At 34.3% G+C, this 26,511-nt stretch overlaps 1 protein-coding gene across 2 annotated transcripts in view, besides 1 other annotated feature; it reads left to right on the top strand.

Annotated features, from left to right (window-relative positions):
* Positions 1-26,511, top strand: part of GBE1 (1,4-alpha-glucan branching enzyme 1) — a 271,943-nt gene that overhangs the window by 80,902 nt on the left and 164,530 nt on the right. For both annotated transcript variants that reach the window (XR_007095662.1, NM_000158.4), the window contains exon 3: positions 9,791-9,906. Coding sequence is in view for 1 of the 2 variants with exons in the window: in NM_000158.4 (NP_000149.4) it covers positions 9,791-9,906 (116 nt within the window). In the remaining variant the exon portion in view is untranslated. The remainder of the gene's footprint in view (positions 1-9,790; positions 9,907-26,511) is intronic.
* Positions 16,679-17,178: an enhancer, noted in NCBI's record as "H3K4me1 hESC enhancer chr3:81712717-81713216 (GRCh37/hg19 assembly coordinates)". NCBI's record gives its function as "activates a minimal SCP1, AML or CMV promoter by ChIP-STARR-seq in primed H9 embryonic stem cells {active_cell/tissue: H9 hESC(primed)}" and the evidence as "EXISTENCE:reporter gene assay evidence [ECO:0000049][PMID:30033119]".

The raw sequence follows: 26,511 nt of genomic DNA, 5'->3' as shown, positions 1-26,511 counted from the left end.
TGATTTAATTCCTTCTGAAAGTCCCTATCTCCAAATATTACCACATTTGGGGTTAGGATTTTAACATGAATTTGGGGGGCATACAAACTTTCAGTCCATAATACTAGGTAAAAAGAGATCAATAATGCAAGTCACAGCAAAGATAAATGTCATTATCCTTAGATCCTAAATAATGTTTATTTTTGGTCAATTATAGATGGCATGAATTGTGTGAAATTGGAGAAATTTTCTTTTTTTTTTTTTTTTTTTGAGACGGAGTCTCGCTCTGTCCCCAGGCTGGAGTGCAGTGGCGTGATCTCAGCTCACTGCAAGCTCCGCCTCCCGGGTTCACGCCATTCTCCTGCCTCAGCTTCCTGAGTAGCTGGGATTACAGTGCCCGCCACCACGCCCAGCTAATTTTGTTTTTGCATTTTTAGTAGAGACGGTGTTTCACCATGTTAGCCAGGATGGTCTCGATCTCCTCATCTCATGATCCACCCGCCTCGGCCTCCCAAAGCGCTGGGTTTACGGGCGTGAGCCACTGCACCCAGCCGAAAATTGGGTAACATTTCAAACTCACTTGTCATGGTAGTATTTAATATACTGTTAGCTTGCAGCCGGTCAAGTAAACTGAAAATAAATGGAGAATTTGAATGAAATGAAATTACATATTTTCAAGGATCTGTGGAACGTCTACAAAGATAGATTATACACTGGAGCACTTTTTAGAACTGAGTTCCATGTGGTGGGCTCTGAGAGGGAGGGTAAGAAATGAGGAGAAAGCGCGGCCAGATAGAGGCATTTCAGCCAGATCAGCTCTGTTTTTATATGCTTTGCATAGTTTTAGTGTTGGAGTTCTCCATAAAATCTATTTTGAGATAATTGAATGGTTTCTACTCCTGCAAGTAAATAGGTTGGTAAATAAGTAAATAGTTTGATTGCCCCTGTATTGAGCTACAAAGTAAGCCTCCTGACGAACTTCATTTCAATAAAACTGGAAATTAATGAAAAAATCTTAAGGAAAATATAATACCCACCATACAGTTTTTCACAAGCAACAATAGCATTGGAGAGAATAATCAGAGTTACAATTATAGTCTGTTTTGAAAAGAAATGAAAACTGTATCGAAAGCTATTGGTTACAGCTAGAACAATAATGAAAGATTCTGCATCTGATCCACAGAACACAGAAAATTATTTGAGTGCCTATTTTCCAAATTATCCCAAGGACCATATGTAACTAATACAATTCTAGATGCACTGAAGGGAAGTTAATTTATTGCATACAATGGATTCTTAACACATTAGGGCTTAATTCTCTTAGTGAACCCTGATTGATCAAGGCAGGCATACCCTGTTATTAAGATGATAATTCCCAGAGTTGATGAGGTTATGGGTGGTTGAATATCCTCATATCCAGCTGATTGGAGTATGAATGGAAACTACCTATCCAGAAAGTAGTTTGTTAATCTGTATTCAGAACCATAAGTGTATTAAACCTTATGCCCTGTGCTTTATAATATCACTTTTTATAATTGATAGCAAGAAAAGAGATTTGGACACCTATTTGTGCACAGAGACCTCATAACATTCATTTTTATTTTTTTATTACAGAAATATTTTACTCTGTAGAATAATAGAGATAAGGTTCTATATTCTTTTCACCCAGCTTTGACACTTATCAATATTTAGCTAGTGTTGTTTCATCTGTTCCCTTGCCCGATGTACATTAGTTGTTTTGCTTTTCATAATTTAAACCAAACTTCAGGCAATGTACAATTTCGTCATTAATACTTTTTTGTGGAATTCCTACTATCAGTAGATGTTTTTGGTAACATAATAACTCTTATCATCCTTATTAAAATTATCAATACTTTCTTTATATTCAGTCTAGAGTCAGATTGCCTGATATGCTACTATTGATATGCAATTACATTCATTTATTCCCACATATTTATATTTTAAGGGCTTTTCTTATTTTTTCTTCTTTTTAACTTATTAAGTTTTCCCATTTTATGAATTATTTACATGGTTTTGTAGTCAAAATATAATGAGTACAATCCTGGAAGACTACTAATCTGTGCATTTTCTTCTCATATTCAGAATAATTTCTATGCATTCTTTGCTGTATTTTGTGCTTTTGGAAATCATAAACAAGAATATTTATCAATCCCTTTCTTACATGAGAAGAATCATAGTATAAATACTGTTTCTTGATGAAACATTGTTAAAATTACAAGCAATGAGGTATATCCATTTATCATCCCCTTTGTTACATAGAAAGTACCATAATGTAAATACTGTTTTAGAAATAAAGACACATACTTTTATTTAAAACCACAGTTTTTTGATAATAAAACTATTTTCTCCCATAAATCCCTTAAATAACAATTTAGTAAGTGAAGCTCTAGGTCTTAGTCATATGCTGCATGACATTTTGGTTGATGAGGGACTGCGTGTACAAAGGTGGTCCCATAGGATTATAATACTTTACTTTGACTTCACCTTTTTAATGTTTAGATACTCAGATATTCCATTGTGATACAGCTGCTTACAGTATTCATTACAATAACATGTCATACAGGTTTGTAGTCTAGGAACAATAAGTTATACCATACAGCCAAGGTGTGTAGTAGGCTATGCCATGTAGGCCGGCATAAGTATATTCTATAATGTTTACACCATAATGATATTACCTAATGACACATTTCTCAGAATGTATCCCCATTTTTAAGTAATGAACAAATGACTGTATTTGATTTATTTTCTAATTTCCAGAAAGCTAGATATACATGATTGAGCACTATGTTTGTTTAAATAATGAGGTATTAGTATTCCATTGGTTCTGAATTTAGTGGCACTCTGATATACTTTAGAGATTGTTCTTGAAAACCACACCTAAGCTAAACTAATATGTGTTAAGAGTAGTTTCCCCAAGGTAATAGTGATAGGGAGGGGAAGTGTCTTACTAAGGTCCTTCCCAGGGTACTAGCTGCCAGTAGAAGTTGAAGAAGGGTGATTCCTTTGCACCCAACTGAGAGGAGGAAGAATTATCTGGAGGGGAAGAGAGAAAATCAAACAGCACAGGGCAATATGTCAGAAAGGACTACTGTCAGTCACCCCCCAGACACTGAGTGGTTCTCTCATAATCCTGGGTAAGAACAATGCCATAGGAAATTCCAGCTCTATACTTTATGACAAGATTCTTCCTTGATACAAGTTAAGTAGCCAAACTTCAATCTTTATAAGCCTTTGCATTATAATTTCTTATACATTCTGCATGATACAAAGTAATTAAATGACATCATATGATGAGGAAGGATGTTTCCTTGCTCCAAAGTGGTGATATTCCAGATATTTAACAACTGTTTTGACCCGAGGATATCCTTTCAGATGGGATGGGATTGATATCTGCCATATGGGCTAGTACTGACTTTATATTAGCCTTTGTATATTAGCCTCGCCTATTGCATTTGCCAGACATCTTGCCTCACTGCTTGTCTGGGTGTGGCAGGGATTGGCCCAAGTGCAAACCAAACTCTTTAGCACATTGGAATCTTCCTGAAAAATGGAAGGCCCTACATACTAAATTGGAACCTTTTCAGCCATGTTTAAGGAAAATTTATATTAAACTCAAAAACGCTGCAGAAATGAAGTGGCTAAGTGCTGATGAAGAGTAGTGCTCCACTGTGAATCAAAGAGTTTGGGAATGTTTGAAGGAGGCTGACATTTGAGAATTTTATGTGAGGATTAGTACATTTGAAAAGGAAAGGTTGTTGGGTATGAGATAAACATAGAGTTTGTGTGCCTGATACAGTGACCTTAGTTAATGTTTGATCACCTTTGCCGAATGTGTGTTTGCAGTTCATATTAAACTGTGCATCACACTGTTTCTTTTCCATATCTCGATTTAAATTTTGTCAGCTTGTTTTGAGTCTGTGGACAAATAGAATCTTATGCCTTATCAGATATGATGAATTTAAACCTGTTAATAAAATACCTATTAAAATATTTGCTTTAGAAATATATCAGGTTTTCCACCATGGCACATGTATACCTATGTAACAAACCTGCACGTTCTGCACATGTATCCCAGCACTTAAGTAAAATAAAAAAGAAAATAAAGAAAAATACAGAAGGCCAAAAAAAATTAATTATTGTAAATTAGCTCTGTAAGACCTTCTTTAGTAAGAGATGTTCAAATACTATGTTTATATACATTATATTTTTATTTTAAAAGAGTAATTAGTACATATTAATTGCCGAGTGATTCCTAGAAATATTTTATTTTAATTTATAATTAAAATCTACCTTTATTCCAGACTTAAGACTGCAAATTAAAATACGCTGGACTCCAAGAATGCCACTTAGTCACAATGTAAACAAAAACATTAATATGCCACCCCAAAAGTTTCTATCAAGAGAAACTAGACAAGCATAAGAGTATCAGAATCCTTTCTACATTCTTGGAGGTTCCTAAATGTTGCTCCAAGACTATACAGCTGACCTGTGAACACTGTGGGGGCTAGGCGTGCCTACTCCCCACATACTCAAAAGTTTGAGTATAAATTTTGACTCCCCCAAAACGTAACTACTAATATGCTGCTGTTGACAAGAAGCCTTACCAATAACATACAGTTGATTAGCATTTATTTTATACATTATATGTATTATATACTGTGTTCTTACAACTAAGTAAGCTAGAGAAAAGAAAATGTTATTAAGAAAATCATAAGAAACAGAAAATATATTTACTATTCATTAAGTGAAAGTGGATCATCATAAAGATCTTTATATTTGTTTACATTTATCTCAATTGTAAATAGTGCCTGTATGGTCTTTATTTGTATACCTAAGTTTTAATACATTTTAACATTTTATCATTAAAACAGAGAACTGTATCAGGTTTTCTTTACTTGATAAACATCAAATGTTTTAGCAGATGTTGTAATAAAATAATTTATGCGTATAGGAAACATGTTCTTAAAATTTTGCCAAAACTGAAATAATAAGCACACATTGTTTTGGGGGTACCTAACTTTGAGCCTAGCAATATCTAGGTTATGGTAGATAATGAAGAGTAGACAGGAATATGAGTTAATATTGTTAACATTTAAAAGGTTTAATATCACTTTTCTATGGGAAAAATAAACCTTTAAATTTTTATTCATTTTGTTATCAGTTGCTTATACTTTTTAACCAAGCAATGTTTCGGTGTGAATATCATAGAGAATATTATCTGTAGACACTAATAATAGTATATTCAATAATGGTTTTAACGCATGTTGTCTTCTCATGTTCTGATTATCATTTCTATTCCCTCACATTAATACATTTAAATTCCTTGATCTCTGAGATTGTGTGTTTAATCTGATTCTCACTGGTCATCCTTCCTGGGCTTTACAACCCCAGTCAATCCTAAATCTTAAATCCTATATTTCATGTGATTAACACTAGCCTCAAAGGATTATTTATGACATTTTTGATTTCAGAAGTCCCTTGACCTGTTGATATATTATATTATTTGATAGCCTTTTAGTTTAACTTCATCTAGAAAATTACTCACAAAACTGTTAAGTAGAGAACACGCAAACACATCAATTTAACTAGGGCAGTTGTTTCTAAAGTGTAGTCCCTGGTTTCTAAAGTTGAGGCCACTGGCATCAACATCACCTATGACCTTTTTAGAAATGCAAATTATTAGGCCTCACCAAAGATCTTTATAAAAAACTCTAGGACTGGGACCCAGCAATCTGTATTTTAACAAATCCATGTGATTCTCATGTAAACTATAGTTTGAGAACCCACTGACCTAGATAGAGACCTTTCTAGTTCTATGTGTAGTTCTATGCTTGGTAGAGAAGCAAATGATTGTCACACATGATGAAGAGTCATGTTTATTTCCATCCTCAGGTCTGCATAGCAATGCAAACTCTTTGCATTACATAATTAATTCTCTCTCATGTACTCAGCATAAGTTGTGTAGGATTAAATGAAAAAAAGTTTGAGTAACCTGATTTTTTTATAAATATGTCTTTAGATAGGCTCTGATATGGCTTGGTACTATTTATTATTATTAATATTATTACTTTATTTTCAATTATATTCTGTAGTAGAGTCACATGACTTATTTCACAAGACATGCATTTCCCTAAAATGTGTCTACCAGCTTATATTATTTTGCCTTCTGTGTTTTTCTAAATCAAATTTTACTTAAAATCAATTTTCAGTATTTTATACCAATAATTTGAGGTTGAATTTTATGTATTTATTTTTAACTGTGTGCTTCCATGATTGGTTCCTGCAATTACACCTGGATACACCTTAATGATAGTTCCTTCTTTCTTAGCTAAGTGTTTAATGTTAAGTTTATAAGCACAGATCCAAATCCAATGATTTTCCTGATTATTCTGTTTCTGGATATTAAGATATGTGTATTCTGTGGAGTAAAGCTGTTTTTATTAGATATTTTGAGAAACTCATATAAGGCAGGAACTGGTTTTATTGGAAAAAATCCTTTGTGTGATGTAGTGTGGTAGAAGTGGATATTCTGGTTGGTGCCCATGTTTTTAATGGAAAGAAGAAACACTAATAAAGGAATGAGAAAGAGGAGAATTTAGGGCTTAGCAATGATTGGAGAAAGAGCCAAGGAGATGGAAAAACTGATGGTGGGGTAGCTGAAGAGGGATTTATTTGGAGAGAAAACGGACTAATGGAAAAGTCTTAAATAGTTTCATACATATATGCTTGCAGACCTTCTTTCTCTCCCATATGAAATCTTTAGTATGCTCTACATAGTTTATGATGGCTAATGTACTGGATTTTTTTGGGTGGGGGTAAATATTGTAAAGATTTTCTAAGTCTTGCTTTAAAGATTTGTGTTTGGCAAGAAAAGAGTACCTGCAGCGAAAGCCAACACCTGAGTTCCCATGAGGAAAGGGGCATTACTAAAATGAAACTCTTGAAGATGCAAAGAAAAAAAGTTTTTTACAGTGTATAATTACAAGTAATCAGCATGTGCTTTGGAGTTTTATATAATTAAACTATTATAAAAGAAAAATGCGACATAGTTAAAGTATTTTTCTTTATCAAATATTAATACTTTGCTTATTTAAATAATCTTGAAACAATAGTTGATACCAAGCTAAAGAACTAGTTCATCAATTTTCAAAAACTGATATTGGAAACCATTTTCACAGTGCTGAAAACAGCTCTTACAAATAAATCTGCATATCTAAATTTCACATATCATTGAATTTCACTTTCAAAATATCCAAATCTTTTAATAAATTTTTTAGTGGATTCACCATTGTACATTTTCTCATTTATATTGGTCTATTATAACTCAATTTAACCTTTTCTTTATGAGATATGACGAATTTAGAGCACTAAATTTGGTTTGGCATTGAACAGGGCCTGCATTAAGCACGGAGTACATATTTAATGAATGAATGAATGAACTAACGAACTATACCCTTTATTTTCAGTTCTACCTAACCGGGAAAAGATCTGCTGCTTGTCTTAAGTGATTAGCTAAAAAGAAATGCAGGAATCATATAGTGTTCTAGTACCTAGATTTTTATATTCCAAGCTTTTATTATTATTTTTTCTCTAATTATGGACTAAACTCTTTGTTTTGGTAATGGAATGTCACAGCATGTATAGGTGAGATGTATTTGAGGTTTTTAGGTGAAGAGGAGTATAGCAGCACCAAACTTGTAGAGCTGCCCTTGAAGATAAACTGCTGTTAGACATTTTCAGGTTGTCTTCATGATGGAGAATAGGTAACTGTTTAGAAGAACCTTTATTTAAATCTTATTTCTTACTCCTGTTTTACCCCCGGTATTCAGACTGGCTGAGAGAGAAGAGTGAAATATGTAATGGAAGAAAAAATGGCATAAAATGAGTTTCCTGATTATTCCTTTATTATGTCCTTAGTTGAGAATGTAATGTCTTAGCGACCCAGTATATGCCACAAGGCTGCTTGATTTTTTGTTAATGCCATGAAATATTTTAGGCATAAACAAATAGTAAATAATGTAATAAACATCTATGTGTATACAACTCACTTTAACAAAAAATAATACAGATATTATTGAAGCTTCTTGTGTTCCCTTTCTTCTACCCACAGGGAATCACCATAGAATTTGGTATTTCATATTCATATTTCTGATTTAATATTTTTACTACATACCTATGTATCAATAAGTTTCATATAATGTTTTGATAGTTCTTGATCTTGATATAAATGCTATTCTTCTGTACTCTTTTAAAATTAACTTTTGTGTGTGGGATATTTGCATATGTTGGTACTATAATCCATTCATTTTATACCATTGTATAGCATCCAGTTGTTTAATTATACTACAAGGTTTTACCCATATTGTGGCTGTTGAAATTTTGATAGCTTCCAGTTTTTTGGCTATGACAAAAGATTCTTCAGGGAATAATTTTGAATGCCTTCTTGTGTACATTTAGGAGAATTTCTCTGAACTATTTCCTAGGAGCTGAATTGTCGGGCTGTGGGGTTAAGATATCTTCAATTTCGCATCACATATGATACCAAGTTGTTTTTACCAATGATACCCTCAGCAGCAATGTTTTATATCGTTGCTGACTAGATGATATTTTTAAACTTTTAATTTTTGCCAATGTCCTGAGTGCGAAATGATATCTTATTGTTGTTTTAATTTGTGATTGATTAAACAGTGAGCTTGAGTATCATTACATGTTTATTGGCCATTCAAGTGTCCTCTCCTGAATATATTTTTTATCAATTTTTCTCTTGATTTGTTTTCTTTGTCTCATTGACTTACAATGTTCTTCATGTATTATGGATGCTCTCTCTCTTTTGGTATATTCACTACAAATGTATTCTCCCAATTTATAGCTTGTCTTGTCATTCTATCGATTCATCTATTTATGATGACAAGTTTATAGTTTTAATGGTCAGAATTATCAGTCTTAAAAGTTTTATAGTTTTAAAAACATTTTACTTAAAGAACCTTTTATACTCCAATATTGTAAATATATTTCTCTGTATTTTCTTCTAAGCATTTTATGGTTCTGCCTATCATGTATAAGTATTAATCCATGTTCAAATGATTTGGGGACATACTAGTTGGTGGAGATCTATTTTATTTTATTTTCATAAGGATAACCAATTTTTCCAGCACCACTTATTAAATAGTGTGTCCTTTACTCACTGGTTTTTAATGCCTCCCTTATGATACGTTAAGTGTCGTGTGTGTGAGTCTGCTCTTGTTGGTTTTACTTTCTTCCACGTTCTGCATTCCACCTTTTCTTTACTTCCTATACTTTATATAACCTTCTACCTTTCTTGCTTAAGGCATTTCTTTAGATTTTATGTCAGCTCTGTCACACTCTTATGAAATTCAGTAAATGTTATATGATTTTAATGGTTTGTCATTATTTTTCTACCATGGCATGTACATTTGTTTGTTCATAATATGTCTCTTTGTTGATGGTGTTTTCTAAAAAAAGGATCCATCATTTTCTTTTGCATTCTGTTTATTGACAGAAGTATTAGAGTTGAAACCACAACTGAAAATGTTATAGTCTTAATTTAATTATAAAATGCAAAAGCACACTTTAAAATGCATTTTTTATAAATAAATTAAGAATAACCTGCCTTTTCTAAACCACTAGTATTTTGATTAACACTTCAGAAAACAATTATTTTAGACAATTTGATTTTTTGTGCAAGTAAAGCAGTATTTTGTTTTTCTTGAAATTCATTAACTATTAGTCCTATCATGCTGTTGTTAACTGATCTTCTTCATTTTTTTAGATGGTTGGAATCCATTTTCGTACCCATACAAAAAACTGGATTATGGAAAATGGGAGCTGTATATCCCACCAAAGCAGAATAAATCTGTACTCGTGCCTCATGGATCCAAATTAAAGGTACTTTCCTCCCTCCTATTTTTTCTTGAACTTATCATTTTCTTTTTATCTTGTTTGCCAAGTTTGATTTAAACTATTAGAATGTACAACTGATGCATGATAATTGTGGGAGAAACAGTCTAAATGTACAAATAGAGGGAAATTTAGGAGGAAGTCTTGAGTTGAACTGGGTTAGATTAGAATTGTTTGGCTGGTAAGGAACCAAACTTAGTTGTATTATTATCACAAGTTTGGAAACATTATATAAGAAATGATATATTAAAAGTGATTTTGAGTAATTGTAAAACTTTAGCTTGGGAAACGGAAAGTTTAATGGAAAAATGAAACCTGTCTTCAAATCAGCCAATGTAGAGAGGATTTTTATCTGTAAAGAGGTCGGGTGAAATTGATGTGGGAGGGGATGCTGTGTTGGACGCGCATGCATTTTGGAGACTGCTTCTTCTGCTTCTTCCTCTTTCTGGCCTCTGACATGCTGGTGGTATGGTCTTGTTTATCATATTCTTCTGTGATAAAGCCACCTGAATTAGCCCAGGGGTCTCCCTGTTGGAGGCAGGCTGAGCGTCCTCCACACTCCCTCTGCTTTCGTTGACCATGTGGTTTTGCATTCAAGGTCTGCAGAGCAGTTAGAGTCGGCTGCTCTTGTCTCATCAAGGGATGTCTGAAGGATGGGTTCCAAAGTCTGGATTACAGATTTAAGGCATTTGATTATAAGAGAAGCGATCTAAATCTTTTCACACTTACTTGATTTTACTCCATGGTCATATAATTATATAATATTTCCATGTCCCTTGTGTCTTCCTTCCTTAGACATTTACCATGATAAATCCTATGATTGAGTTGTTTTTATTGGTATTTGTTATTTAACAATATTAACTCAGAGTTACTTAAATATATTAAATCAAAATGCACAGTATGTTTATTTTGTAGGTTGTTAAAAATATTTTATAAATAATGAAATTATAAGTGTATGTAAAATTTAATAAGATATTGCCACACATTATAATAGTAAGCAGAGAAGAATATTGTTTGGGATAAGAAGATGTTTAGCAAGAGATGGCAGTCAAGGTTCCTTTTAATCTATAGTGAAAAAGAGAAAAATACTGACAGTATACAATAAGAGGAATTAAAATTTAATATAAATAATCCCCTTTCCATGTCAGTATAAGCTCCATGAGAGCATGGCCTTTGCTGTGTGTGTGTGTGTTTTTTTTTTCCTACTCCTGTATACTCTCAATTCTTTGAACAGTGCCTGGCAGAGTAGACACTCAAAAGATATTTATTGAGTGTTAAAGCCATTTTGAGACTCAGTCTTTGAAGAAGTAAATCAAATAATTTGATTCTTCGATAGTTTATAAGGGCTAATTTTATAGAAACTGTGGCAAGGCAACTATTATTGTTTTCATTGCTGCTTTAAGTCTTAATGGCTGTTTTTTTAACCTTTGTTTTAGGTTCGGAACTTTTTTTGAGAACTGAACTTACTACTTTTTAAAAAGTGTTGCAGGAATTTTTTCTGCCTGTTTCCTTTTTATTTTTTTGAGATAATTGGCAGATTAACTTTACTGAGTTTTTACTTGTTACAATCAATTAACTAAGAGAACTAATCTAAATAGCAAACAGCTCCTTGGCACCAGCTGCAGCTGTGAAATCTCTGAATTCCTTGATTCTGTGACCCTCAAATGTTCTAGTTGAAGCCGAGGAAAGTTCCCAATCATAGTGGAGCTTTGGTTGCAGGGTTACACTACAGTCTATCACCTCATAAGGTTGATTTTTAGCTGCCGAGTTCTATTTATTCATATTTTCACTAGTTCAACAAATATGTGTTGAGTATCTTCTGTGTACCTGGTACTGTAATATGCATAGGGAATCAGAATTTTAAAAATTACTGCCTTTAAGGAAATAATCTAATAAATGAGTTATTTTTAATTTTTATCTGCTCCAATAAGCCTAAGAGCTAGGACACAGTCCACTCAGTAGAAGCAGCTTCCTGTGGAAGTAACTATCAAGCTAAGGAGCTAGGTGTGTGGAAGAGGCAGGATGGGCTGTTTCAAGTTTTTAAATTTGAAAAACAGATTTTCCTTCTTTTGGTGGAGAATCACTGTAATAAACATAACTAAATAGACATAAAGCTCCTTTCCCTCTCAAAGAGGGCTCTGTATGATTATATTATTAAACACTCATTACCTCATTACTAGACCCAGCATCATCTATTAAAAGATAAGAATAAACAGCTCATCGATTTTTTTGCTTTGTTAGCTCAAGTAGGAGGCATGAAAAATACCAACATAAGCAGCTACCACTTACTGAATGTTTCCCATTGACAGCTAACTAATTTACATATATTTTGTCATTGACTCATTACAAGAACTCGATACAGTAAGTACTTTTATTACTGGCTCACCCTACATTCTGCTTTGCCTGAACAGTACCAGTGTATACCTGTTATCTTAATTATTATTATTTTTGATTAATATAGCTTTATTTTCATTTTTTATTTTGATTTTACTTTAAGTTCTGGGATACACATGCAGAACGTGCAGGTTTGTTACATAGATATACGTGTGCCATGGTGGTTTGCTGTACCTACTGACCCGTTCTCTGAGTTCCCTCCCTTCACCCCCACCCCACAACAGGCCCTGGTGTGTGTTGTTCTCCTCCCCGTGTATTCTCATTGTTCAACTCCCATTTATGAGTGAGAACATGCAGTGTGTGGTTTTCTGTTCCTGTGTTAGTTTGCTGAGAATGATGGCTTCCAGCTTCATCTATGTCCCTGCAAAGGATATGATCTCATTTCTTTTTATGGCTGCATAGTATTCCGTGGTGTGTATGTACCACATTTTCTTTATCCAGTTTATCATTGATGGGCATTAGGGTTGGTTCCATGTCTTTGCCATTGTAAATAGTGTTGCAATAAACATATATGACCATGTGTCTTTAGAGTAGAATGATTTCCCTGATGAACATCAATGCAAAAGTCCTCAATAAAATACGGGCAAACCGAATCCAGCAGCACATCAGAAAAGCTTATCCATCAAGATCAAGTTAGTTTCATCCCCGGGATGCAAGGCTGGTTCAACATATGCAAATCAACTAATGTAATCCATCACATAAACAGAACCAAGGACAAAAACCACATGATGATCTCAGTAGATGCAGAAAAGACTTTTGATAAAATTCAACATCCCTTCATGTTAAAAACTCTCAATAAAATAAGCATTGATAAACCATACCTAGAAATAATAAGAGCTATTTATGACAAACCCACAACTAATATCATATTGAATGGGCAAAAGCTAGAAGCATTCCCTTTGAAAACTGATACAAGACAAGGATTCCCTCTCTTACCACTCCTATTCAACATAGTATTAGAACTTCTGGCCAGGGCAATCAGGCAAGAGAAAGAAATAAAGGGTATTCAAAAAGGAAGAGAGGAAGTCAAATTGTCTCTGTTTGCAGATGACATGTTTCTATATTTACAAAACCCCATCATCTCAGCCCCAAAACTCCTTTAGCTGATAAGCAACTTCAGTGGAGTCTCAGGATACAAAATCAATGTGCGAAAATCACAAGCATTCCTTTACACCAGCAATAGACAAGCAGAGAGCCAAATCATGAATGAACTCCCATTCACAATTGCTACAAAGAGAATAAAATACCTAGAAATACAGTTAACAAGGGATGTGAAGGACCTCTTCAACGAGAGCAACAAACCACTGCTCAAGGAAATAAGAGAATTTTAATAATCATTGTAAGAAATGAGTAGCATTCTGTCTCTAGTTCAGAATAATATTAAATTTTAATTTTCAAATAACAATCAGAAGGTACAAATTTTAGTAGCTGACATCTGTCATCTCTAAACCTATTTTTCAAAATCTAAATACTATAAGTCTTTTGTCACATTTTTATTCTACAATTGAGCTCTCTAAAGGAGCTGGAACAGCTTTCATTTTATTATTGTAGATCATGATATTTTTCATAGATTTAACTGTGCTTTTTAGGCAATTAAAATCATAAGGCTAAAATAAACACATAATTTAGAGTTTTTCCTTAAAATTATTTTCTAGATAAGTTCTGTATTTGAGTAGATCATTTATGTGTCACATTGATATGTTTGTGGCAGTGAAGTTATATCTCCCTCTTTTGGAAAGCCAAGGCATGGCATTTTGGTTGAGTTTAAATTGTTCTTTTCATATTTTCAGTTTACATAGTTTCCTGAACTTACAGATTGAAAAATAATATTTTTCTCTGGAATAGATTTTCCTTTGAAATTTTTTACATTAATAAAAAGTTAAACTTTCATACATATATGCACATGTATATTTCTTTGGATGTGTGGAAAACAACAGGACATTTGACATGTGTTTCAACCCAGGAAAACTTTTTATTTTGATATTTGAAATGCCTTTATTTTTAGTTGAAGAGAGTCAGTTTTACTTTTTCTGTAATTATGCAACATGATTCATAATGTCTGTTTAAAAAATAGGACTTAATTTAAAAAATATGGAAAGAAAAGTAGCCCTTCTTATAATCATTAATGGCCTGGCCCTCCAGGCTACCATCCACTCTTGACAGATTTTATGGGTATTCTTGCTCATCAGTTTTTAGGCATTTGTAAACTGTCCTTGCCCTTGTCCTCTGCCTCCCTGTATTTATATGCTTTTTATTATCATAAAAATATGATTATACTGTGCCTATTAGTCTTCAGTTTGCTGCACCCCTCCTAATATATCATGCAAATCTCAAAAGGTACATTATTATGTTAGTTACTTGAAGAATCAAGTCCATACCCATTACTAATAAGAGTGATGTCTACAAGGTATAAATTAGCATTTATTCTGGCTAAGCATTCGACTATAAAAAGAAATAAAATGTATTAATATACTCATTCTAGATCACTCAAGTCTGTTTCTTATAATAGCTAACATAATTTTATAACAATTGTATGCTTTCTTGAGGTATTAAAATCAGGGCTGCACCTTCATTACCACTGCTTAGAAGAACAAAATGTTCATTTTCTACCCTCCCTGCTTCCTGCATTTGGGTCATAGAAGTGCTCTGAATTTACCCTGTAAATTGTTCAACAATGTTGAGTGTTTTGCGGGATGTGGTTTTTGTTTTTTCTGTGTACTCCTTTGTAACTTTGCCTACAGATTATAAAGAAGTGCTTGAGATTTAAAATTTAAAATTAACCATTAACATATCCCAAGAAGACCACTTATATGTAATGTAGAAAGAAAATGTTTACAAGAGCTAACAGTAGGTTATTTTAGTTTAACAAGTCTCATGTCTTTTTTTTTTTTTTTTTGAGACGGAGTCTCGCTGTGTCCCCCAGGCTGGAGTGCAGTGGCGCAATCTCGGCTCACTGCAAGCTCTGCCTCCCGGGTTCACGCCATTCTCCTGCCTCAGCCTCTCGAGCAGCTGGGACTACAGGCGCCCGCCACCACGCCCGGCTAATTTTTTTTTGTATTTTTAGTAGAGACGGGGTTTCACTGTGTTAGCCAGGATGGTCTCGATCTTCTGAGCTCGTGATCCGCCCGCCTCAGCCTCCCAAAGTGCTGGGATTACAAGCGTGAGCCACCACGCCCGGCCAACAAATCTCATGTCTAACATCAATCTAGTAATTTTCATTTGTTTAATTTTCATAAATTACTTAAAGAACTTATTTAATCAGCATTTCTAAGAGGTTAGAAACACTACTTCAACCCACAGAAATTAAATGGATGTGTAGTATAATATATGTGAATATATGTGTGTATATATAAATGTGTATTACTATTATGAAACACTGTTGCAAACTTCCTTTGAATTAAAAAATTCTCTCAGAATAGGCATTATTTCATATACAAACTAGAATGTAATGAAATAATATAAATTGAAGAATATACAGGTGATGGCTTTTGTTTGTTGCCTTTGTAAATAACAATGCCATTGACATTTGCATACTTATATTAAACAAGGTTTACTCTGTCATTATGCTAAATATAGTTAGTTTGTGATTGCCAATTCTATGTCATTGACTTAAGAAGTCACATTTACAGTCATGTTGAGAGGTTTGAAGTGATAATAATAATGAAATAATAATCCGTAATGTTTTGCACTGGTAATTACAGTGGGTGATTTTTGCAAATATCTGTTCATGTGAATAGAACTATAAGCAATCTCATGAACACATTGTTCTCAGCTGAGCAGCACCTCTTTCCATTTGATCCTGAGACATGAACTCATTTTAAAATTAATAATGAGTTATTATATAAAAATAATTTTAACATCTGAAGAAATTTTGTTGGTTTTCTTTTTCTTTTCAAAATGTTGGGGCGTTTTAGGCCCAGCTGCTCTCAGGTTTGGACATATCTGTACTATTTGTCTTCGTAGTGCTGGCAGGTTTTTTTTTTTTTTTTTTTGACACATTCAAGTTTTCTATTTTTGCCATTTAATTTTCCAGGCTCTGTCATTTCCTTACCATTCTTTAAGCCTTCAATCCAGGTTCTGCCTCCAGCTTTGCTCATGTGAACCTTATTCCACTTCTTCTCTCAAACTTATTTTGATTCCAAACTTTCTGATATTCCAGATGTGTTGTGTTCTTCTGAAATGAGGTCCTAGGTTAAGTCAAATTATGTTCTTCTTATTTTTCATAAAAAGAGTACTGCTTCTCATCTTAGTTGAAATACAGATTGACCCTCCTCTTCATCCTCTCTGCCCCTAGCATTCCTAGGTATTGCCAACTTCTGTGTCTTTTTGCATAACTGTAATAAACTCTGCTTATAAAAAATAAATTTTAAAATTTGAATTTTGAAACCAAATGCACGGAGAAAATATTTTTTTTTCTATGCACAGCCCCTTTTTATGATTATTTCTCATGAAAAAGCTGATTCCGAATGTGCACATAATTATGTGTAGGAAGGTACAAATGGAAATTATTAGTGTCATGAACTAATTAATGATGACATTGAAATGGGAAAGGTTCCCTTGTCCCCTCACAGGGCGCGCGATGGGGGTGTGGCTCACTACTTCAGTGCCCCGCTGCTCAAACCTCTGCGAGAACTCACAGACGGGCAGGCTGTGGGGCTCCAACCCCACGGCAGTGCCTGGGGGTGAATGTTTACAGCTCATGAAGCCCCAGTGGGCGTGTGCTACCGTGTGCTTTTAGTTTGCTGTCTATATGCTGCTTGTGTTAACCAGCTCAATTAGACCCTCTGCCCTGTCACAAGGACAGAGGGTTTTCTGTATCCCGGGTTCTTGCCTTGGTATACTGGAAGAATAGGATCACATCTGGGCTTGGAGAATGAATGCAAGGTTTTATCGAGTGGAAGTAGCTCTCTGCTGATGGCAGAGCTAGTAGGGAGGTGGTTTTCCCCTGGAGTTGGGCCCTTCAGTGGCTCTGGCTCTCCTCAGATTGCCCCGGCCAAACTCTGTCTTGTCCCACCAGTATATGGCCTGCGGGCATGCTGATGTCTGTTAGGGTGCTCTTCAGCTGGCGTGCCCCCTCCGCGTCCTCCTGCCTTCCAGCTGCTTACGCTGATGTGGTCCTCTCGACGTCTGGCCACCTATGTGTCTGCCCACTGGGGTCTTGGGTTTTTATAGGCCCATGATGGTTCCTGGCGGGCCAGGGTGGTATTGGAAAATGCAACATTTCGGCTGGAAGGGCAGGAGTGCTTGTCCTCACCTAGGTCCATGAGAGTGGAGCCCTAGCCAGGGACCCAGCTTTCTCTACCCAGCACTTCCCTTCCCTCTTCTGTATTATTTAAAGGGACCATACTTTTCCCTTCCTAGCACTTCCATATCAGCTCGATAATTATCTTTGAGTTTTCCACTCTTTGTGACTATGTAGATAATGGATTTTATTACATTAAGCATCACTCTGCATTCTCAGGCAAAACCAATTGATCCCTATATGATCTACCTCACGTACTTGCTTCTTCCTTCCGTTTCTTATATGAGTTCATTAACCATGTTGAAATCTAGCTGCAAGAGAGGGAGAAAAATGTGATTTTTAAGCTTTCCATGTTCTCTAATACAAGGAAAGAAAGCAGAAAGGCAGTTTGACTGACTAAAGAGCCATTATCTGCTACAATTTTAAAATAAAAATTATGTATTGAGAAGAAAAGTATCAAGTTTTAGTAATGGCATTTAAAGTAACATTGGTAACTTTCATTTTCTTTTTTCTTTTTTTTTTTTTTTACAAAACTGTTAATGTTTGGCAAAATGATTGATGTGATGCATAGTATGGAAATTGCAAAATTTAAAAAATATTGATGGGTTAGAACAACAGGGTAAGATCAGAGGCTTGAGTAAATTTACCAGACTCTTTTATGACAGCATTCCCAAGTATAGTGGAAACTTTTTCATAAGTAAATGATGTGAGTTTAAGGACAATCATAGGTATGCTCAGGACCACCGATGGATAAATTTCTGAGCCAGCATGGAAGCCTTCAATGATTTGAGTGAGATTAACTTAAGTTTATAAAGATATTTAAATTTTATTATTTGAGAATAATAAAATAGCAGGAAGGGCCGGGTACGGTGGCTCACACCTGTAATCCCAGCACTTTGGGAAGCCGAGGCGGGTGGATCACTTGAGGTGGGGAGTTTGAGATCAGCCTGACCAACATAGAGAAAACAGGTCTCTGTAAAAATACAAAAATTAGCCGGGTGTGGTGGGGAATGCCTGTAATCCCAGCTAGTCGGTAGGTTGAGGCAGGAGAATCGCTTGAACCCGGGAGGCGGAGGTTGCGGTGAGCCGAGATTGTGCCATTGCACTCCAGCCTGGGCAACAAGGGCGAAACTTCGTCTAAAAATAAATAAATAAAATTAAAAAAATGAATAAATTAGTAGGAAGATTAGGCAATGAAGGATTAAATATAATTGTAAATTTTTGTTAAAACATAAATATATTTAAAATGCAAAGTAGAGATTGAGACAAATTTTATTGTGAAATATTTCTGATTTGCAAAAGTATTATTACCAGGGTTTTAGGAAATATATTCCCTGTAACCTGATGTTTTCTTTCCTTTATGATAATTTATTATTATTATTTTTTAAAAATAAAGATCTATCATTTTGTTACTGGAACACTGGTACTTGTAGCTACTCTGTCTTTTACCTTCTCAGGTCTAGCTTTTATCTCCTAAAGCATTAGACTGCAGGTCACAAAATCTGAATCAAGAACAATTGGTAGGATGGTGGCAGTGGTTAGAAATCAGTCTAAGGCATCTTTAAGATATTCCTCAGGAGTTCCTACTGCTTTTCAGGGTTGAAAACTGCTGTCCAAGATACATATAAAAGCCTAATATTTTCTTACTGAATTAAAGGGGAAAATGTTTGTATTCCAGGCACGTCGGAGTATACAAATCAATCTCAACAAGTGTTTAATGCGACAGGTGGTTGTGGGATACATTTTAGAAAAATAATTATAAAAAGCATTCTTTTTCTCTGTTTTATTTAATGCTTGTACAAATGAATCACCATTATCTAAAAAATTATACTGTCCATAAAGTTCTGTTTCCTGATTGATCCCTTAATGTAAACATTGATTCCATAGATATTTTAAATGTATTAGCAAGCTTACTTTTCTTGTATCTGTGTACTGTGAAATATGTTGTATTTTATCATCTTTTTTTCTTTCTTCCTTCAATGTGGGCATAGTATATTTTAAATATGATTATAAAATCTGGAAAATTGAACACTTTCTCACATTTTTTTTAGAAATACTTTTTTTAAAAAATAAAAATGTTTCATGCTTTTTTCTTCTAAATTATGTAGTCATCCAATTTTTTTTCAAGAGAGCTTTTGTTTGGTATTTGATCTTTTATTGGTGTGCCAGAAAAAGGAAGAAAATTACAGTTTGTGACTGTTTAGGTGGGCATTATTTTTGGTTATGTTTAATAAAAGTATTTGCACTTTGACCAAGTATACCTTCAAATAATGATGAATAAAGGTATGCCTACAGGAAATAACCTTTTTCTCCTGATAAAGTACATACTATACAATCTCATTCATGATTTAAACATTTACATTTAAGCTGGGTTCTTTTATTGAATATCACAGTTAAGTTTTTGTTAAATGTCAAAATTAATGTTTAACTTTCTTCAATTTAAAGTGTGTGGTTCAGTGTATGTGTGTGTGTTTTTTTTGCACTTCAGTATGTTCATCTTTATCCATCCTAATATGTCAGTAGCATTACATTTCCCCACGTGACTAGTGCTCAAATTGAAAATTATATGTTCTCATGAACATATAATTTTTTTTAAATGGTCAGCCATAGGTCACTGCGTCTCATCTTACGAATATTCCCCATGCCTCACTCATTGGTCAGGTGAGTAATTCCCAGACCTGTGCTTTATTGACTGAATTATATTCACTAGTTTATTCAGTAGTTTTCTCTACTTTTCCAGAGGAGTTGTCACATTTAGAGATCAAGCTCAAAGTTTGCTGCCTTGTGCCTTGGCTTTATCTACACAAGATGGGGGCATTTATGTTTAAATATTTAGATATATCTGAACAAGGAAGGATGAAAGTAGCAAGCTTCATTGTGTAGAATCCTATTATTTACCACTGTTTCTTCCCATCATCACTGTTTCCACCTCTAGTGCCTGAGTCCATTATCCAAAGGTCACTCCAATTCTTGACCATCTTTTATAACCTACTGGAATGCTGTTAAAAAAATCAATTGACAAGAAATTATCCAAATGCATATCTAGTGCTACTTCTTACTGATAGTCATTATCTCTTTCCCATAATACAAACTATTTCATCGCTTTCTTATTTCTTGATGGTTGTATTTACTTTCATCATTGTACATACATATCTATTTCCAGTTCTTTTTACTCTAAAATCACCTATACCTGGCAAAATACAGATTTTTTGTAGAAGAAAGGAGAGAAAAGAATGATAGTGTTCCAACCTGTGAGACCTTAATTTGTAAAGAATATTTAAAGATTCAAGAGGAATTCATCTCATCATTAACTGTTTATTTAATAGTCATTAACTATATTCTTGGATGTAATAGTCTTAATGTTTATTGAATATGTAATTGTATGTTTTCTTAAAAGATCCTATAATTTTTAGAATTATGTATTCTGTGTGTAGTCTTCGGAATTTCTCTAGATTTCTTTTAGGGGTTGAGTTATTTCTTTTTTTTCCCTCCATGCTTTATATTTTACTTCATTGCAATGGCACTTAGAATGATTGCTTAGGGGCCGGGTGCGGTGGCTCATACCTGTCATCACAGCACTTTGGGAGGCCGAGGTGGGCGGATAACTAGCTCAGGAGTTTGAGATCAACCTGGCCAATATGGTGAAACCCCATCTCTACTAAAAATACAAAAAAAAAAAAAAAAAAATTAGCCGGGCGTGGTGGCATGCACCTGTAGTCCCAGCTACTTGGGAGGCTGAGACAGAAGAATCCCTTGAACCTGGGAGGTGGAGGTTGCAGTGAGGCGAGATCACGCCACTGCACTCCAGCCTGGGTGACAGACTGAGACTGTCTAAAAAAAAATAAAAAAAAAATAAAAAAAGAATGATTGCTTAGGAATCATATTTTTTTCTTCAAATGATTGAATTTATTACCACATAGACTTTTGTAATTATACTTAATAAAATATTTTTAAAAGAACTTCAACTCATCCTATGATAGTGCTTCCCCTATCCTATCACTTCTGAAAATACTTCTTAGATTTTTTTTTATTGGCTTTATACCAGATTATAACTCTGTTTACTTAATAGAATTCTAACCTTCACTGCACATGGATGAGTCTCTTTGAAGCACACTCTTTCAGTAATGAAAACTCACTGATTTTTTCCCCTTTTCATAGCCTTTTTCTTTTATTACGATATTGATCTTTCAATATCTTGGATGTTTAAATCCCATATTTTTGTATCATGTGTAATTCATTTGTTTTCTAGTCTAAGACACCTAATCAATCTTTACATGATTACAACATCTCAGCATTGTTCCTTTTCTTTTCACTTAGGAGTGTTTATTCTCACTTGTTCAGGGATATCGTTTTCAATGCCTGCTTCGTAAATCTCAAATAATCCCTTTGGACTTTGTCTTTTTGTAGTGACCTCACTTTGTAAGGTTTTTGTTCAGGTAATGTACTTGAAATGAAGCAAACACTTTATCAGTCCTACTTAGTTGTTTCTTTATTTCTTTAAAGATTTGCCTCGGTAGAAAAGCAGAGAAAGAAAACCATATTACAATTGTAATACTCCTTAACTAGGCTAGAAGATAGGGGAACTAGGGTATAAACCTTGGGGGATAATACTCCTTTTTATAGGTGCAGAAGCTTCTGTCTCTCTAAATCATTCTAAGTCAGGACCTGGTTTCAGAAGTGACTACTGACCTTTATTTACTTTCACAATATTCTGCAGTTTCTTCTTTCTCATGTGTAAGTATTACAGAAATGAGATTGTAATATATTTATAATTCTCTAATTGGTGTTGTCAGGGACAAAGAAGCTATGTGTATTATACCTCAAAAATAGTCTTTTTTTTTGTTCTATACATTGGTGTCTGTTATCCCAAAGTTTTGTATAAACTGGTCTGACACTCATTTGTATCACATTACAGATTTATTTTTCATAGCTAATATACTCAGTCTTTTCCTTTAATGAAGTTTTAAAATTATGATTTGTTAGTATTTATTTTTGTTAGAGAAACCCTTTGTCCTATTCAAGCTGTTGCTATGGATTCAACCTTGGAAAGGTTTCTTGTTTTTTATTAAAGAAAAAAAATACATTATGATGGCATGTTTTAAAATAAGAAATCTAAAATAATGGTATCTAGTGAAATTTGATCTATAGGTTATTGCTTTAGAAGTTTAACTAATTTCTATCCTTTTTTAGTTAAGCTACTAGCCAGGATATCTTCTTTTCTCCTGTGTAGTGTCCAGTCTTGCATAATATAAGAGCTCAGGGGCAAAATCTAATCATTTAATCTCTCTCTATCCACCTCTCTCAATTCCTGAACATTGTAGATGTAAAGAGCCTCACAAGGATGATTTTATATGCATATGTCTTATATAAGTTTATTTGATTAATTGAAAACTATGAACTAAATTATGAGGCAAAGAAAGAGATTTCTAAAATATATGAACTTTATTATCCAGATAAAATTAACAGAAAATTAAAATAATTTCAAGAAAACAGTTATGTTTATTTGGTACCCATAGCAGGCTTAATTAAATAATATATAATGTCATTTGTAGCCTAAATATTACCCTAATTTATATAATCTTACCGATTAACTATGTACAGTTTTAGAAAAATTCACCCAGGAAGTGGTCTTTTATATATTAAGGTCTGTTTAATTTTAGTGATCTCTTTATTTTAATTCCCCATTAATAGAAATATAAACTCAAAGTTCACAATGAACTAGCAGTTACGATGAAGAGTGTTTCTGATTTTCATCTTCCTAGTTAGGAAATTCAGAATGCAATTTTTTCAATAGATATTTTTTTTTTGTTCACTGATTATCTGTTTACTTAAATAGTTTCATCTCTGTTTAATGAAGCAAATATGTCAGGTATTGGGTAGGAAAAAATATTCCCTTTGCTTTTCCATATGGTAAATTTAGAGGCTTCATTTACATCACGTATGCAGTGATTGTTTTTGTCTAATCTTTGAAAATACTTACGTGGGAAGAAGGCTAGGTATAAAAACTGTGTATTACAAATTTATTGTTTTTTTTTGTTTTGTTTTTTTTTTTTTTGAGACGGCTGGAGTGCAGTGGCGTGGTCTCGGCTCACTGCAACCTCTGCCTGAAAGGTTCAAGCAATTCTCCTGTTTCAGCCTCCCGAGTAGCTGGAACTACAGGCACCTGCTACCACGCCTGGCTAATTTTTGTATTTTTAGTAGAGACGGCGTTTCTCCATATGGATCAGGCTGGTCTGGAACTTCTGACCTCAGGTGATCCACCTGCCTTGACCTCCCAAATTGCTTTGATTACAAGCGTGAGCCACACACCCGGGCACAAATTCACATTTTTAAAGTCCCTTCTCTCAAGTCTGGAACTCAGCAATGTTTATTTTGAAGGAGTTTGCTTTACCTGGGAATCGTCAAGGAGACTTACCTTGTTTAGTGAAGTTCACTGTAACGTATTAGTACATATTTGTCTACTTTTTGGGAGTAAGAACACAAGACAAATGTATTATTTAGACTACTCATGAAGATAACTTATATCTTTAAACTCTTTCCAGTACTGACAAATTTCAACTAAGTTTATTTCCATTTTATTCATAGAAAAATTATTGTTTCCAAATTTTCCCTTATTGGCTGTATTAGTTTCCTAAGGCTACTGTGTAAATATGTTGGCTTTAAATAATGTAAATGTATTCTCTCATAGCTTTGAAGTGCAGAAGTTAAAAATCAGTATCACCAGGCTGAAATCAAGTTGTTGTCAGGGCCATAGTCCCTCTGGAGGTTCTAGGGGAGAATGTGTTCCATGACATTTTCAGCTTCTGGAAGTGGCTGGCATTCCTTCGCTAGTATCCTCGTCACTCCACTCTCTCCCTCCTGGGTCACAGTGTCTTCTCCTCTTCTATATGTAAAATCTCCCTCTGTGATTGCCCCCCTGCAGAATCTGGAAATGGAGTAAGAATCTCTCCATTTCCAGATTTGTACTTTAATCACATCTGCAAAGACCTTCTTTTGTCACAGAAGGTATCATTCACAGATTCTTGGCGTAGGGTGTGGATATCTTTTGGGAGGCCATTTTCAGCCTCACACAATGGCAAAGAGATTCTTGCCCACATACTCTTCACATAAGCTTCATTAATGTTAAATTGGCTCAGCAGAAATGACAAGCAGAGCTGTGGATAGAATTTATACAAATAGGTCCTGTTTTAAACAAAACAAAACAAAAACAAGGATAAGTAGTGAAAGATTAGTTTGGTTGAAATGAAATTTATGAGCTTTACTTTAAATTGTATTAAGTTATTTTAAAGTTTTAGCGATTATAAATTCTATCTATGCATTTTAAAATAATGTTTACACTAGATATTTGTGACTATTAAAAACACACATTTGGCTGGGCGTGGTGGCTCAGCCCTGTAATCCCAGCACTTTGGGAGACCGAGGCATGTGGATCACCTGAGGTCAGGAGTTCGAGAGCAGCCTGGCCGACATGGTGAAACCCTGCCTCTACTAAAAAAAATACAGAAAGTATCTGGGCGTGGTGGCAGGTGCCTGTAATCCCAGCTACTCAGGAGGCTGAGGCAGGAGAATTGCTTGAACCTGGGAGGTGGAGGTTGCAGTGAGTGGAGGTGGCACCATTGCATTCTAGCCTGGGCGACAAGAGTAAAACTCCATAACAACAACAACAACAACAACAATAACAAAAACACACATTTATTTCTTCGGGATTCAGGTCATTGGTAGAATTGTTAGCTTTTCATCTGGAATATCACTTATTTTTCTACTTAATTACAAATTTTTGATTACTTTTTTCTTTTTTATGTTCCTTCCACCCTCTTCTACAAATTACTTAAAAATTAATTATAGGCCGGGTGCAGTGGCTCATGCCTGTAATCCCAGTACTTTTGGAGGCTGAAGTGGGCAGATCACCTGAGGTCAGTTGTTCAAGATAAGCCTGGCCAACATGGTGAAACCCTTTCTCTACTAAAAATAACAATTAGCCAGACCTGTCTGTGTGTCTCTGTGTGTGTGTTTCAGTCTTATTGGAAATACACATATACATATATATGCACACAGAATACTGATATTCAGCATTGTACACTGGTATGGCTATACTTATTATTAAAATAAAAATATTTTAATATTTGATAAATAGGTACTGCTCAGGGACTTGTGAGTACAACTCCTACCACCCTCATGTTTCTTCCAGAACTTCCAGAACTCGGGACAACTCAGCTATTAAAGGATTAACAGCTGGCAAATACTCTGTGGCCATCATCTCATCTGATTGGTAGAAACAAAAAATATACATGTTGTTAAAATATGTTGGGTTTATGTGTACATATATCAAAACATTGTTTTACACCTTGAATATATACAATTTTTGTTAATTATAACTCAATAAAGCTGAAATTTTAAAAGTGAAATAAAAAAGAAGTGGAAGTAGTATTTTTCTATAAATTAGAAATCACTTGTTTGATAATTCACTTTGACCTGTAGCCTATCAAATAGTTATCTTGATCAATATGTTTTTTTTCACTCTGCTTTAAGCAAAAATTTTTTAAAGAAAAGCTTCTCCTCACAACATTAGGAGATATTTGTAGTATAATTGGGGCAATTTGAATTATATGATTCAATAACTGTGCGTTTTCTGTTAGCCTGCTACACTTTCCTTCATGAAGCCTAGAGCTACATTCATTACCATCTTTCAAAATATGCTAACAGTTACTTCTAACCAGCTGAACACATCCGATTTTTTATATAAAACTGTTGGCCACCTAAGGAACATATTATCTCAGTAATTTTCCAGTACATGGAAAATTTGTGTTTTGCAAGAAGCACTTTAAAATATATTCCAAGCATGAATGAACACACACACACACACACACTTTTTTGTCTTCAACATTTACTGTTTTTTATATTGTGTATTTGAGTTTTAAATGACATGTTCTAAATAAAATTTGACTTTAAACCATTCA

Source organism: Homo sapiens, chromosome 3, assembly GCF_000001405.40.
Source record: "Homo sapiens chromosome 3, GRCh38.p14 Primary Assembly".
Lineage (NCBI taxonomy): Eukaryota > Metazoa > Chordata > Mammalia > Primates > Hominidae > Homo > Homo sapiens.
This window is presented reverse-complemented; position numbering and strand designations above follow the sequence as displayed.